The sequence below is a fragment of the Homo sapiens genome, chromosome 1 (assembly GCF_000001405.40).
Source record: "Homo sapiens chromosome 1, GRCh38.p14 Primary Assembly".
NCBI classification, from domain to species: Eukaryota; Metazoa; Chordata; class Mammalia; order Primates; family Hominidae; genus Homo; species Homo sapiens.
In genome coordinates this window covers 21,490,547-21,506,106 of record NC_000001.11, presented here as the reverse complement: position 1 = coordinate 21,506,106, position 15,560 = coordinate 21,490,547, and the positions used below count along the sequence as shown (strand labels likewise).

Here is a 15,560-nt window from a genome sequence, read left to right as displayed (position 1 = left end):
GCCGAGCAAGGTGACGCACACCTGTAGTCCCAGCTACTTGGGAGGCTGAGGCACGAGAAACGCTTGAACCCTGGAGGCAGAGGTTGCAGTGAGCTGAGATCACGCCACTACACTCCAGCCTGGGTGACAGAGTGAGACTCTGTTTCAAAAAAAGAAAGGAAAAGAAGAGAAAAAATTAGAAGCTAAGTTAGAGATGAGGCCAGAAGCCCAAGAGCATAGGGTAGGGTGGGGCAGGGGGACAGCCAGGACCTCAGTAGACAGAGATAAAGGAGAAAGAAAGGAGAGAGACAGAGAAAACAAAACTCTGAGGTCTGTTCGTGGAGAGGCGGTGAGGAGTCAGCTGTGGTCTAGGGCTGGAGAAAATAATCCCTGAAATCTATTTAAAGGCAAGGGGGCCTGAAACCTTGGTCTGTTTTGATGCTTGGACTAAAGGGGTCATTTTATCTCAAGCCCAGGCCTGAGCACAAGTTCAGCCATTTGATTCCCAGTGCCACCTACAGCCCCACCTTTAACTCAGTTAAAAAATGAACCAAAAGGCATGAGGTGGAAGAGACTACGACAGCCGAAGCAGCATCATTAAACCGACAATGCTGCCGTGGCCAGGGCAATTGGACGCTAATAAAAGTAGGGACTTTTATTCTCTCTTCACGGATGAGGAAACTGAAGCATATATGAGCTATTGTTGCTGGGGACTCCCTCTGTGTCTGCAGCCTGATGGAAAGATCTTTATAGGTGAGATTTAACTTGCTCCTCCCTGCAACACCAAAGCACCATCACTGTTGTCATCGTCACCTTTCCAGTGAGCAGGCTGTTATCCCAGGCAGACTTGGCAACCTTATTCATTCAACAAATGTTTATTGGATGCCTGCTCTGCAGCAGGCACCCTTCTAGGAACTGGACATACCAGTGAACAAAACAGAATGTTTATCCTCACGGAACTGACACTTTAGTTGGGAAGGTAGATAATAAACAACAAACATTAATAAGTAAGTTAGTAAGATAACAGGGGCCGGGCACAGTGGCACACGCCTGTAATCCCAGTACTTTGGGAGGCCAAGGTGCGCAGATCACTTGAGGTCAGGAGTTCGAGACCAGCCTGGCCAACGTAGAGAAACCCCGTATCTACTAAAAATACCAAAAAAAAAAAAAAAAATTAGCTGGGGTTGGTGGTGCACACCTATATTCCCAGCTACTCAGGAGGCTGAGGCGGGAGAATCACTTGAACCTGGGAGGCAGAGGTTGCAGTGAGCCGAGATGGTGCCACTACACTCCAGCCTGGGCAACAGAGGGAGACTCTGTCTCTAAATAAATAAATAAATAAATAAATAGGCCGGGCGAGGGTGTTCACGCCTGTAATCCCAGCACTTTTGGAGACCGAGGTGGGCGGATCACGAGGTCAAGAGATCCAGATCATCCTGGCTAACATGGTGAAACCCTGTCTCTACTAAAAATACAAAAAAATTAGCTGGGCATGGTGGCGCGCCCCTGTAGTCCCAGCTACTCGGGAGTCTGAGGCAGGAGAATTGCTTGAACTCAGGAGGTGGAGGTTGCAGTGAGCTGAGATTCTGCCACTGCACTCCAGCCTGGGTGACAGAGCGAGACTCTGTTGTCTTAAAAATAAACAAATAAATAAATAAAAAAATTTAAAAAGACAATAAGAGTATGGATAAGGAGTTGGAGCAGATAAGGGGGACAGGAGCACCAAAGCGGAGCAGACTGTGGCATTAAATAGGGTGTTCAGTGGAGCGAAGGTGAGGGGATTGAAGATGAGGGAAGTAGGGGCTGAGATGAAGACCACCCAGATAGCCAGGGAAGAAGGAGGGATGGAACCCGGGCTGCCTGTGTCTGATGCCTGGGCTCCTGAGCAGTGTGTGACATGCCCCCCCAGGACCAGTTCTGACCCTCAAGCCTTCTCCCAGTCCCGGGCTTGTTCCTCTAATACTGCCCCAGCTCCTGACCTCATCCTATCTTGACTCCAGTCTTTGCTCCAGCCTCATCTTCTCTATCTCAGTCAGTCTCCTGTTCCAATCCACCGTGTCCCTTCACACCCACAGCTCCATCCCCAGGCCCCAGGTCCCTCCTAGCAGTCAGCTCTGAGCTCAGTACCCTAACAGCCGGCCAGCCCCTGGCCCGGGTTGTCTTCCAGCTCCAGCTGCCCTTAAAGGAAGTCCTCCTAACAAAGGCCTGCGGAGCCTGCCCTGTGAGAAAACCCCATTGTCTGGCAAACAGTGTCCTCTCTAAAGGGACTTGTGAAGAAGTACCAAGCTCAGAGAGAGCATGTTGCTTCCTATTCTCAGCCCTGGAGAAGGCAGCAAGCCAAGAGGAAGGGTCAAGGCAATGTGCTGGGGGCTGGATTCCAGAGGCCAAAACAGATTCAGGCAGGCCCAGCCTTAGCAGTCCATGGTATTTTCCAGAACGGAGGCAGGAAAGAAGCTATCCCTGCCAGGTGCAGTGGCACATGCATGTAATTCCAGCTACTCAGGAGGCTGATGATGTGAGAGTATTGCTTTTGATCCCAGGAGTTTGAGACCAGCCTGGGCAACATAGTGAGACCCCATTTCAAAAAAAACAAACAAAAAAAGCCCTCGCCCTCCCCCTCCCCCTCCCCCCCCCACGGTCTCCCTCTCCCTCTCCCCACGGTCTCCCTCTCCCTCTCTTTCCACGGTCTCCCTCTGATGCCGAGCCGAAGCTGGACTGTACTGCCGCCATCTCGGCTCACTGCAACCTCCCTGCCTGATTCTCCCGCCTCAGCCTGCCGAGTGCCTGCGATTGCAGGCGCGCGCCGCCACGCCTGACTGGTTCTCGTATTTTTTTGGTGGAGACGGGGTTTCGCTGTGTTGGCCGGGCTGGTCTCCAGCTCCTAACCGCGAGTGATCCGCCAGCCTCGGCCTCCCGAGGTGCCGGGATGGCAGACGGAGTCTTGTTCACTCAGTGCTCAATGGTGCCCAGGCTGGAGTGCAGTGGCGTGATCTCGCTAGCTACAACCTCCACCTCCCAGCCGCCCGCCTTGGCCTCCCAAAGTGCCGAGATTGTAGCCTCAGCCCGACTGCCACCCCGTCTGGGAAGTGAGGAGCGTCTCTGCCTGGCTGCCCATCGTCTGGGATGTGAGGAGCCCCTCTGCCCGGCTGCCCAGTCTGGGAAGTGAGGAGCGTCTCTGCCCGGCCGCCATCCCATCTAGGAAGTGAGGAGCGTCTCTGCCCGGCCGCCCATCGTCTGAGATGTGGGGAGTGCCTCTGCCCCGCCGCGACCCCGTCTGGGAGGTGAGGAGCGTCTCTGCCCAGCCGCCCCGTCTGAGAAGTGAGGAGCCCCTCCGCCCGGCAGCCACCCCGTCTGGGAAGTGAGGAGCGTCTCCGCCCGGCAGCCACCCCGTCTGGGAGGGAGGTGGGAGTCAGCCCCCGCCCGGCCAGCCGCCCCGTCCGGGAGGGAGGTGGGGGGTCAGCCCCCGCCCGGCCAGCCGCCCCGTCCGGGAGGGAGATGGGGGGCGCCTCTGCCTGGCCACCCCTTCTGGGAAGTGAGGAGCCCCTCTGCCCGGCCACCACCCTGTCTGGGAGGTGTACCCAACAGCTCATTGAGAATGGGCCATGATGACGATGGTGGTTTTGTGGAATAGAAAAGGGGGAAAGGTGGGGAAAAGATAGAGAAATCAGATTGTTGCTGTGTCTGTGTAGAAAGAAGTAGACATGGGAGACTTCATTTTGTTCTGTACTGGGAGGGGTTCTTCTGCCTTGGGATGCTGTTGATCTGTGACCTTGCCCCCAGCCCTGTGCTCTCTGGGGCATGTGCGGTGTCCACTCAGGGTTAAATGGATTAAGGGCGGTGCAAGATGTGCTTTGTTAAACAGATGCTTGAAGGCAGCATGCTCCTTAAGAGTCATCACCACTCCCTAATCTCAAGTACCCAGGGACACAAACACTGCGGAAGGCCGCAGGGTCCTCTACCTAGGAAAACCAGAGACCTTTGTTCACTTGTTTATCTGCTGATCTTCCCTCCACTATTGTCCTATGACCCTGCCAAATCCCCCTCTGCGAGAAACACCCAAGAATGATCAATAAAAAAAAAAAAAAAAAAAAGTATGGATAACACAATCCTAAAACGAAGGGCAGTCCTCCCAATTAACCAATTAACGTAGATAAAAGACTCATTACACTGACCTTCATTGAAAAAATGGCTATCATGAAATGACACTATTTGAGGACAAGCATTTGGGAAGAACTGGTACCAGTGTAAACAGATTTCCAAGGACAAACACCCAGGGAATGCTCATCTTTAAGTGCTCATCAGAGAAGAGTCTACCAAAGAGACTTAAAAGCAGTAAATGGAGAATTAGAAAGTAAATCTAGGGAAGTATGACATCCTAAAGCCAGAAAAATGTTTCAAGAAGCATGCAGTCAACAATTCAGATGTCACTGAAAGCCAACAGACATATTAACAGAGAGTCTGCTGATATCCTAAGTAAGAACAGTTTTATACTAAAATAATATGATGTGAAGACTTCACTTCTGGGCTGACTCAGGCAATATAACAAATTTTGTTGAGACTTCTAAATTCAGATCAATAAGTATTTGCTGAGCACTTAGTGTGCCCTGAACTATTTAACAAAGCCCCTGAGCGGTTCAAAGATTAGTGACATATTTCCTGTCCTCAAGAAACTTGTAGTCTCAGGAGAGAGATAAGAAAGTAACTCCATGAGCTTGTCCTTAAGGTACTTCATATAAATGAAATCACACAATGTTTGCCCTTTTGAAATTGATTCATAATAGATATGCATATTTTGGGGTAAAAACAAAACAAAACAAAACAAAAAAAAACAGAAAAGAAGCCATCCTTAGTAAGTAGGACAAAAGCTTGGCTACACCCAGGACGTCAGAGAGATCTCCTTCACCCCTGACACAGGGCTTTCATCAACTCTGATAAAATCTTCTTAAAGATTCATCCATCTTCCTGCCTGTACCTCAGCCTGCCTGTCCATCTCCTTGTCTTCTTCTTCTTTTTTTTTGTTTTTTATTTTTTAAGACCCAGTCTCGCTCTGTCTCCCAGGCTGGAATGCAGTGGTGTGATCTCGGCTCACTGCAACCTCTGCCTCCTGGTGATTCTCCTGTCTCAGCCTCCGGAGTAGCTGGGATTACAGGTGCGCACCACCAGGCCCAGCTAATTTTTGTATTTTTAGTAGAGATGGGGTTTTGCCATGTTGACCAGGCTGGTCTCGAACTCCTGACTTCAAGAGATCCACCCACCTTGGCCTCCCAAAGTGCTGGATTACAGGCATGAGCCACTGAGCCCAGCCATCATCTCCCTGTCTTCTGTGGATACAGCTGATATAAGCCTTGGAGATGCTTCCCCTGGGATGCTGTACCATTTTAGCATCCCGCTTCCTGTTAGATGCAAATTCAGGGACCTAAGGAGGCTTTAGGGCCTGGGCAGTGGCAGGCTGGTGTTGGCCACATTGGGGATTCTTTTAGCAATATTCTTTTTTTGTTTGTTTGTTTGTTTTTGAGATGGAGTCTCGCTCTGTAGCCTGGGCTGGAGTGCAGTGGCATGATCTCAGCTCACTGCAACCTCTGCCTCCAGGTTCAAGCAATTCTCCTGCCTCCTTCTCCCGAGTAGCTAGGATTACAGGTGCATGCCACCACGTCCAGGTAATTTTTTTTTTTTTTGTATTTTTAGTAGAGACAGTGTTTCACCATGTTGGCCAGGCTGGTCTCAAACTCCTGACCTCAAGTGATCTGCCTGCCTCGGCCTCCCAAAATGCTGGGACTACAGGTATGACCCACCACACCAAGCCAACAATATTTTTAAAGGCTTACTCTGTGTCCTGTCTATTTGCTTCCACTGAAATGCACGGACCAGTAGCCCAACCCAGAGACCTTCGACGTCTCTGTGTCCAGAACACAACCTGGAAGTACGTATCTCCTGACAACTGACCTTGAGCTCTATGCATTCCTCCAGGCCTTGTTTTAATGGATGACCTCTATCTTGGCAGGTTAAAGCCATGGACAGGGGCAGAGAGGTACCAGTAATTGGCCTCTTGTTTACTGTCTACATCCCAGCAAGAACATGAGAAGAGGAGCTGGGTCTGCTTGTCAAACAAAGAATACTTAACAGGCTGTGTTTAGGAGGGGCCTGAAGATTCTTCAGTTTTATCTCCTGCTCTCTCCTACCTCCTGGCCTCCCCTTACACTAAACATGGCTTGAAGTAGAGAATTAAGCTTTTTGGCTGGACTCCTGGACTCTCCATCAACTTGAATGGCAGGACTCAAGTCCAAAGGGCCTCTCTTAGCAAAGCTGTAGTTCTTCCCTCTCTTCTTTCAAGCAGCCCTGTTTCAAAAGAAGTATATTTCTTTCTTGTAGGAATTTACTAAAAACCACAAGAAGTGGCCAGCCAAACATTTCAAAATGCTAAAATTTTCCCACAAGTCTCCTAAAGAAGTAGCCTTATGTAGGCACATGGTTTAAATTCCAAGATTCAGCAGGCTGTGGAGTAACCAATTCTTTAATTACCAACTATTTGAGAGTTGCCACCTTCCCAGCCAAGAGCCTCAGGTCCAGGTCTCCTGCACCTACCTTGTCAGCTCTACAAGTCCCACTGTGCAAGGCCTGTTACTTGCAACATCCCACTTCTGGTACCAGTTTCATCACCAGTTAGAAAGCTCCAAGTAACAGAAAATACAACTTCTCAAACTGGTTTTGAAAATAATGGAATGTATGGGCTCACTAAAATGAAAAGTCTATAACCAGAGGCAGGGCACGATGGCTCATGCCTGTAATCCTAGCACTTTGGGAGGCCAAGGCAGGAGGATGGCTTGAGCCCAGGACTTGGAGACCAGCCTGGGCAATGTGGCAAAATCCCATCTCTACAAAAAAACAAACACTACAACAACAATAACAAAACCCCACAAAAAGTAGTTGAGCATTATGGCACGTACCTGTAGTCCCAGCTACTTTGGAGGCTGAGGTGGGAGGATGGCTTGAGCTGGTGGTGGAGGGGGTATGGGGGTGTCGAGGCTGCAGCGGGTAGTGATCACACCACTGCATTCCAGCCTGGATGACAGAGTGAGATCCTGTCTCAAAAAAAAAAAAAAAAAAAAAAGTCTACATCCAGAGCGTCTTCCCAGTGGTTCAGTGATATAATCAGGACCTTGCTTTTCTGTCTTTCCATTCTCAGCTCCTCTTCCTCCCTCTTGGGCCCATTCTCACCCAAGCAGAGGTTCCCAGGTGATATATGGAAGTCACTGTTAATATATTAAAAAAAAAAAAGAAGAAGAAAAAAAGAAAGAAAAGAAAGAAAGAAAATCTATTTCCCCAAACAAACACAAGTCTTGGAATTGCATCTCCTGGACCCAGCCTCCACGATGAGCTCCCTAAGCCTGTCACAACAGTGATTGATTTAAGCCAATCCAGGCCCACCCTTGGAGATGGAGTGGAGTTCAACCCACCCAATCTGCCCTGAAAAGAGAAGAGGGGAGTGGGTGCTGGAGAGGCAACTCACAAGTGTCCCACACACAATAGCTTTAGGATTTAGGCAAGCACTTGAAGTAAATAATAATAAAAATATTGTATATGTGTAAAGTCCAATATGTTTTAAAATATATAAATCATCTAGGTTCATGCTAGGAAGTGTAAATGCAAAAAGTCAAGTAAACTAAAATGCCTGGTAATCTTATCACACAGAGATATCCCATTTAACACCTTGGTTTTTATCTTTCCAAATCTAATTTTTAAAAAAACTTTAAAAGGATAGGCGCGTAGGATGATACATATTGAGAGTCCCTGCTTTTCTCCCATCATACGCCAACATTTTCCTAATCCTGTCCAAGTTTTTAAGCCCTTTGGATGCATTATCTCATTTACTCCTCTGGGTAGGGGTTATTATGATCCCCATTCAACAGAGAATGAAAACGGAGGCTTGGAGGCTAAACCAAGATCAGGCACCCAGCATGTGGCTCCCAGCCTAGGCCCCCTAACCACGGGGCCTCACAGTCTCTGTCAGGGGAGAGAGAGGGCATGCCCACAAGCCCTTCTGGAAGGTGAGAGTGACTGTGTGGCACACCTCCAGGACAGTCCAGTCTCCTTGACAGCCTCCTTCTACGTGGTCCCAGGTGTTTCTGGGCACTCAGAGTAAGGAAGACTAGTGGGTTTAATGTTTATCACCTCAAAGTGCAGTGTCAGGAATCCCAGGGATTCTGGACTCTTCACATACCTCCAGGGGGCGGGAGTGGTTAGGGCAGCGGGGGACAGAGGGCAAACATCCCTCCTCAGATTTCAACTCCTCCAGTTTTCTGTGTGCTTGCAGGGCTAGAGTGAGCGCGTGATGGGGTGGGCTCCGAAGGCCTGAGCCCTCATCTCCTAGCAGTTGCAAATGAAAAGGTCTATAGTGATGGACTGTGGCCCAGGCTCTGAAGTCAGACTACCTGGGCTCAAATCTGGCTCCAGTAGCTGCTTGACCTTGAGCAAGTGAGGCTCTCCGTGCCTCAGTTCTTCATCTGTGAAATGGGAATGTTAACAACTTCCACAGAGGGTTGTTGGGAAGTTTATGTAAAATAATACCTGTAAGTCCCTTGGAAGAGATATACCTGCTCTTATGAGCATTATTTTATTGGATATCTATATTAATGAAAAATTTAGTTGCAGGTAATGGAAAACCTCTCCACTGGCATAACCAAAGAGAATAGTTTATTAAAAGGGGGGTTCGTCCATGACAGCCAAGGGCAGGAAGGCAGCCAATACTCCAGAAGAGACTGGAAGCAGAGATTTGATCAGTTACCAGTCCAACCCATTTCCTATCTCTGAGTTTCTTCTCTCTGTGCCTGCTTTGTTCGTCTGTGCTTGTAGACCCATTTTCTCCTCCTCCTTGTTGTTGCAGCAGGACCTTGCCTCCCCAGGGCTCCCCAAGCAAGTGCATTGCAATCCCAGTGCCCAGGAGAGACAATTGGATTGGCCCAGCTGGGTCCTCTCCTGGTCCAATCAACCACAGATGGGGGCTGAATCATGCGATGCCAACATGGCAGCTCCCAAAGACATTGGATTGGCCCAGCTTGGTCCACTCCTGGTCCAATCAACCATGGATAGGGGCGGGATCATGCAGTGCCAACATGGCAGCTCCCAAAGAAGAGGGGACTGGCCTGTGAATGGGATGAGACACCCCCAATCCCCCGCCCCCAGATGATGAAATTCAGTTATCCTACTTCCCTCTGCCACAAACTACTTTTGCTCCTTGGTTCTACAACTAAGAGGACACACGCTGCTCCGGTTTGAATGTCCCCTCCAAGATTAAGGTTGACAATCCTGCATGTGGCAGTATTGAGGGGTGGTGCCTTTAAGAAGTGCTCATAAGGGGCTCGCTCTGCTCTCGTGAACAGATTAATCCATTTATGGATTAATGAGTTATCATACAAGTGGAACTGATGTCTTTATAAGAAGAAGAAGATGAATTCAGATGTAGTTGTCAGCTCCTGTAGTCTCAGCTACTTGGGAGGCTGAGGCAGAAGGATCTCTAGAGCCCAGGAGTTTGAGGCTACAGTGAGCTATGATCACACCACTGCACTCCAACTTGGGTGACAGAGCGAGACTCTGTCTCTTAAAGAAGAGAAGAGGAAAGAGAGACTTGAACTAGCATGCTCAGCCCCCTCGCCGTGTGATACCCTGCACTGCCTCAGGATTCCACCAGCAAGAAGGCCCTTACCAGATGCAACCCCGTGACCTTGCACTTCTCAGCCTCCATAACTGTAAGGTATAAATTATTTTTCCTTATAAATTACTCAGCTTCAGATATTCTATTATAAGCAACAAAAAACAAACTTAGACACACCTAGAGGCCCTGCTTGCAGGTTCCCTGATGCTGGGGAAGCTACCACAACACCTGTTGCACTAAGCAGCCATCCCAGGACACCACACATACACACATACACACACACACACACACACACTCCTCTAGCCACAGCTGACTAGATGGGGTTCAGCCAATCCCTGGTCTTGTCTCCTGATTCAAAAGGAGGAGCTGAGCCAATCAGATTCACAATCAGAATCTGAACTAAGAAAGTCAGGGAAGGGCAGTTGTTGGCCATGAGGGATGAAAGATCAGATTCTCCTGGGTCTTGAGGGTCAAGGTTAGCTGGTGGAATCTGAGGAGCTGAGAGAGAAGAGAGCAGTTACTGAGAGAGAAACTGAGGTAAGAGACACCTGCAGCCCAAGACACCAGGCAAATAGCTTCAGTCTCTGACTTTCCAGTTCCCGCTTCCAGTACGGGAGAAGCCTGACCGAATGGAGCTTTCCTAAGCCAATGGAGATCCCCGGAATTTCCAGTCATAGTCTCACAATTTCCCCCATCCAAATATTAGTTTTGTGTTACTAAAAAATGTTCTACCCCAAAAATTCACTTCCTTATTTCTCTGTAACATGAGCCACAATCATCCAACTTTTTTATTTCTCCATGGAGAGAAGACACAACCCACCCACCCCCGTACCTCTCCTGCTTCAAGCCCTGTGGGCATGTGAGTGGGCATGTGCCCATGTGTGCGCCTGGAGCGTGCACAGAATCATCTCCATTTAAGGATGGTTCACACTCAAATATTCTCCGTGTCCCAGTATCACCTGACCTCCCCCTAGGAGAGAGGGGACAGAAAGCAACTTGCTCAACATGGTCTGTAGAGACAACCATTATGGCCACCAGCTCCAGAGTGTGGGCACTGCATCCCTGAGGGCAGAAAGGGACATTCCCCAGAATTGGGCAGGCAGAAGGGAGCTCTCTCCAGGCCTCAGAGCTGGGCTGGTCACGGCACGTCAAAATATTTCCTCCAAAGGAGTACCAATCTCAGTGCTTCTGTACTTGCTTAGATAGAGGCTGCTTATAGACCAAGCAGCCATTTGCATGAACAGAGGTGGGTCAGAATCCACCACAGGTACCCGCTCCCCAGCTCTTTCCACCCCACGGTCTCTGCACCATGCCTAAGTAGCTCAACCAGACCTGGTTCCAACCTCTTCTCTGCTCCAGCAAACTTACAACAAAGTTCTATTCTGATTCAATGAAGATTTTTTCATCCGTAATTCAATGACACATGCACACACACCCCGGCCCTCCTTTGTGTGAGCCACTAGTAACACTGAACTCTTACTTCCTTATTTGTAAAATGACAAGGTTGGAGGAGGCATGGTCTGGGGCCCAGCCCTGCTCTGCCAGTCTGGGAATGTGTCTTTCATTGCTACTGTGTGTCATGACAATGGATGAGAGACTTTTTTTTTTTTTTTTTTTTTTTTTTTGAGATGGAGTCTTGCTTTGTCGCCCAGGCTGGAGTGCAGAGGTGCAATCTTGGCTCACTGCAACCTCCACCTCCTGGGTTCAAGCAATTCTCCTGCCTCAGCCTCCTGAGTAGCTGGGACTACAGGCACGTGCCACCATGCCAGGCTAATTTTTGTATTTTTAGTAGAGACGGGGTTTCACCATATTGGCCAGGCCGGTCTCGAACTCCTGACCTCAGGTGATCCGTCTGTCTTGGCCTCCCAAAGTGCTGGGATTACAGATGTGAGCCAGCATGCCCAGCCGATGAGAGACTACTTTGTTCCCTATTATTGGGCCGTTTTCTGCACCTGTGAGGTCAGTCACTGTTTCCTGATTTTCCAGTATCCCCAGTGCAGGGGCTCTGTGGGGAGAAAACTCTGATGATTATTGCCTGCGTGGGAATCTACCTGGTGCCAAAGAGGCGGGACAGGCTACTGACTGACTGGCTAACAGACCAGCAGGGGACTGACAGCAGAGTGAGCCTGCAGTTGATACGTTCACACTCTGAGCCTGGGTACAGCGGCAGCCCCTGAGCTGGGCCAGGTCATAGCCCCACCCTTCCTTAGGAACCAGTGTTTACTATTAAAAAGTGAGGGCAGGAAAGTGGGAGAACCCCCAAATCTATACAAAACCCAAGAACAAAAGTCCATTCAACCATCTTATGCAAAATTTTGCATTCAGTAAGTTAGCAATCCCGAAGTATAAACTACTTTCAATGTTGGCATACATGTTAGGTGTTTGTGGGTGAGTGTCGTTGACATTTCTAATTACATAGAAGAGGTGGGTGACGGGGTCTCACCATGCTCTGGGAGTCTAAGGTCTAAAGCGGACCTTGGTGCTGGGAGTTGAGTCTTCAACAATGGAACTGGTGGCCCCAAGTCCTCACCTCTCTCTTTCTCTTTCTCTCTCTCTCTCTCTCTCTGGGTAGAAGACCTTTTCTGTTTTACCACTGCCCCTTGAATTATCTTAAAACTTAGTTTCGGCCAGGCGCAGTGGCTCACGCCTGTAATCTTAGCACTTTGGGAGACCGAGGCAGGTGGATCACGAGGTCAGAAATTCGAGACCAGCCTGACCAATATGGTGAAACCCCGTATCTACTAAAAATACAAAAATTAGCTGGGCGTGGTGGCACGCGCCTGTAATCCCAGCTACTCGGGAGGCTGAGGCAGGAGAATCACCTGAACCCAGGAGGTGGAGGTTGCAGTGAGTTGAGATCAAACCATTGCACTCCAGCCTGGGCGACAGAGCGAGACTCTGTCTCAAAAAAAACAAAACAAAACTTTAGTTTCGAAACAATGTTCAGCTCACCCAGTGTTAACTGAATCCAAGTGCTTTTGTTTATGTTAATTTTTTTCCCAGGGAGTGGAGTTGGTGGAGGGAGGGAAGCATCCTCACGGAAAACAATACCAAACTTGTTCATGGCTCTCCTATCCCAAGGAGGTCCTTTACCAGTTGATCCTGGGCCAAAACAAAAGTCCTCGAATCTTTAGCATATTTTGGAAATACGTGGGACAGGGATTCCACAGGATACTTGTGAGTCGCTGGTGCTGGGTGGGGGCAGTGAGTTCCCCTTCTAGAGAGTTCTCTCACATTCTAGATAGCTGCTTACCTCTTTCTTAGTTGTTGGCACGTCCAAAGGTCACCACTTGTACTATTACTTAGTGGGTATACTTCTTCAATTGGATGCACCTTTTCTCCCCTTCCCCTTCCCTTCCCCTTCCATTCCCTTCTCTTCTCTTTTTGAGACGGAGTCTTGTTCTGTTGCCCAGGCTGGAGTGCAGTGGCACAATCACAGCTCACTGCAGCCTTGACCTCCCAGGCTCAAGCCAATCTCCTGCCTCAGCCTCCTAAGTAGCTGAGACTACAGGTGTGCACCACCACACCTAGCTAATTTTTTTTTTTTCTTGCAGAGATAGGGTGTCACTATATTGCCCAGGCTAGTCTCGAACTCCTGGGCTCAAGCAATCCTCCTGCCTCAGCCTCCCAAAATGCTGGGATTACAGAAGTGAGCTGCAGCATCCAGCCACCTTTTCTTTTTTTAACTGCAATAGATTTATTTTATAATTAAATCGCCATTATAAATGGAAAACCAATCTCATTTGCCTGCCACAGACTTTTAGCCAGTGGTAGGGAAGTGTTGAAGATGTAGTGGCTCTGATAGATGGAAACAAAACTGAAAAAGGAAAACCTTCCTAATCTGTGGTTGGGGTTATTTAAGACCACGTCGGATTACCACCCTGGAGAGTTTTCTACTCTGGGCAAGGAGTAGAGCTTCTATGAGGCTGTGAGCTCCCTGGGGACAAGAGATGGATCTAACCTCTGTTCCCTGCAAAGCACTAGCAGAATGTCTTCCACACATTAAGTGCTCAGTAAACCTTTCCTGCAGCCAGGTGTCCTATACACAATGGCAGCCTGCTGTGGACACAGCAACCCAGGGACCAACAGGCTCTCTTGGGCCACGACCGGTGAGGTTTAGGGAGCCTGTGGATAAAAGTGTTGCAGGCAGAACCTCACTGATGTGAACTGCTACTGGGTCCTAGGGTCCTAACAGCAGGGATAGGAGATGGCGAAGGGCCTCACTGGCATCACTCTCATCTAACCTAGAGGGCTCTGGAGAGGAAGGCAAGGCAGACCTCTTCTCTGGAAGAAAACCACTGCTGTTGAAACTCGCAGTTCTAAACAATAATCTGTTGCCACTTCTCCCAGGGGCCCTACTCAGCCTTTGCTCTCCCCTATTTTCAGCATTCAATGCTAATTACCCTCTGGGGCAGGTTGCCAAGTATTTGAGTGAAATGTAATCACTTCCCCCTGCTTGGGAATTTTGTCTCCTCCCCACTCTCAAGGGGTGCAGCAGGGAGGTGCTTAGGAAATTGAAATTGAACTCTGCCAGTTACACCAGCATCAATTTTACTTTTCCAAATTTCTGAACCCTGGGGAGCTTCAGAACCAACCTTGACCTCTTTGACCCAATACTTAGTTCTTTTCCTGCCTGCAGCAGAAAGGGTTCAAGCTGAGGAGTTGGACAGACAGGAGTTGGAACCTCACCCCTGTCACTTGCTGCCTGTGTCCACTCGACCAAAAGTATTCCCCTCTGAACCTCAGTTTCCTTATCTATAAAAATGGGAATGTGACTCATGCCTGTAATCCCGGCACGCTGGGAGGCCAAGATAGGAGGATTGCTTGAGGTCAGGAGTTCAAGACCAGCCCAGGCAACATAGTGAGACTCCCATCTCTACAAAAAGTCAAAAAACTTAGCTGGGCATGGTGGTGCGCACTTGCAGTCCCAGTTACTCAGGAGGCTGATGTGGGAGGGGGATCACTGGAGCCCGGGAGGTCGAGACTGCAGTGAGCTATTGGCGCAGGATTTTTTTTGCTCCCTTTGTCAGGCTCACAGCAGGAGATGCCCCGTCAACTTGGCCCGCTGGGCTGTGCTTGAAGGCAAGCTTCCAGTGTGGATCCTGTGGCCCCTGTGACTGTGCACTCAGTCCCAGGAGGGAGGGGGTGTGTGAGTAAGTGATTGTGGGGTCTGGCTGGCTGTTCTGAGCGCTGAGCCCCAACACAGGAGCAGGCTCCGTGCAAGGCTGGTGGCTGGACCAGGCGTGTTGCCCAGAAGGGAACACAGTGGTGCCCAGGCAGGGGTGTTTTCAATGCCAAAGCCCCAGAGGGGGTGTTACAGTATGCTAATTAGCTCTCAGTTCCACCATCTGCAGCCTGATGGACAGCAGTGTGTTAGCAGCTCACTCAGCTCCTTGCCCTGCTCTGGCCCAGGGCTCCAGGACTGGCTCAGCCTCACCACTGCTTCTGTCAGATGGAGCGGCTGCCCTCCACCAGCAGAGGGCAGAGGGCCACAGTGCTACAGCCTTCTGGGTACTCACATTCGGTAGGTCCCTAGCTCTTGTCCCTCGTCCAAGAAAAATGAAGTCATGCCGACGATTGAAGGGTGATGAGGGCTGAGAATGTTATTGAGCTACAAAACAGCTCTTGGAGGAAAGGGGATGGGTAGGTGGTGTCTCACCCAAAGTCAGGTCATCTCCCTCAGTGTGGCTGAGTCTGGGATTTTTACAGGCATAGCATTAGGGAGGGGCAGGCTGTAAGTAGTATTGAAAAAGGCAACATTTGATTGGTTAAAGAGCATTATTCAGAAAGAGCCAGTCAGTAAAGGGTAGGCAAACAGGAACAGAAGTTCTCACTCCTCTGGAACCAGCAGTCCAGCTGTTTTTGGCTTGAAGCTGTGGTTTCACCGGGGACCCGCCCCTATCTACCTAGGCATTTGTCTGCCTCCTGCTGC

At 49.5% G+C, this 15,560-nt stretch overlaps 2 annotated features.

The window, feature by feature from the left end:
- Positions 14,313-14,813: an enhancer, noted in NCBI's record as "H3K4me1 hESC enhancer chr1:21817787-21818287 (GRCh37/hg19 assembly coordinates)". NCBI's record gives its function as "activates a minimal SCP1, AML or CMV promoter by ChIP-STARR-seq in primed H9 embryonic stem cells {active_cell/tissue: H9 hESC(primed)}" and the evidence as "EXISTENCE:reporter gene assay evidence [ECO:0000049][PMID:30033119]".
- Positions 15,001-15,050: a silencer, noted in NCBI's record as "silent region_382". NCBI's record gives its function as "represses an Ori minimal core promoter by ATAC-STARR-seq in GM12878 lymphoblastoid cells {active_cell/tissue: GM12878}" and the evidence as "EXISTENCE:reporter gene assay evidence [ECO:0000049][PMID:35858748]".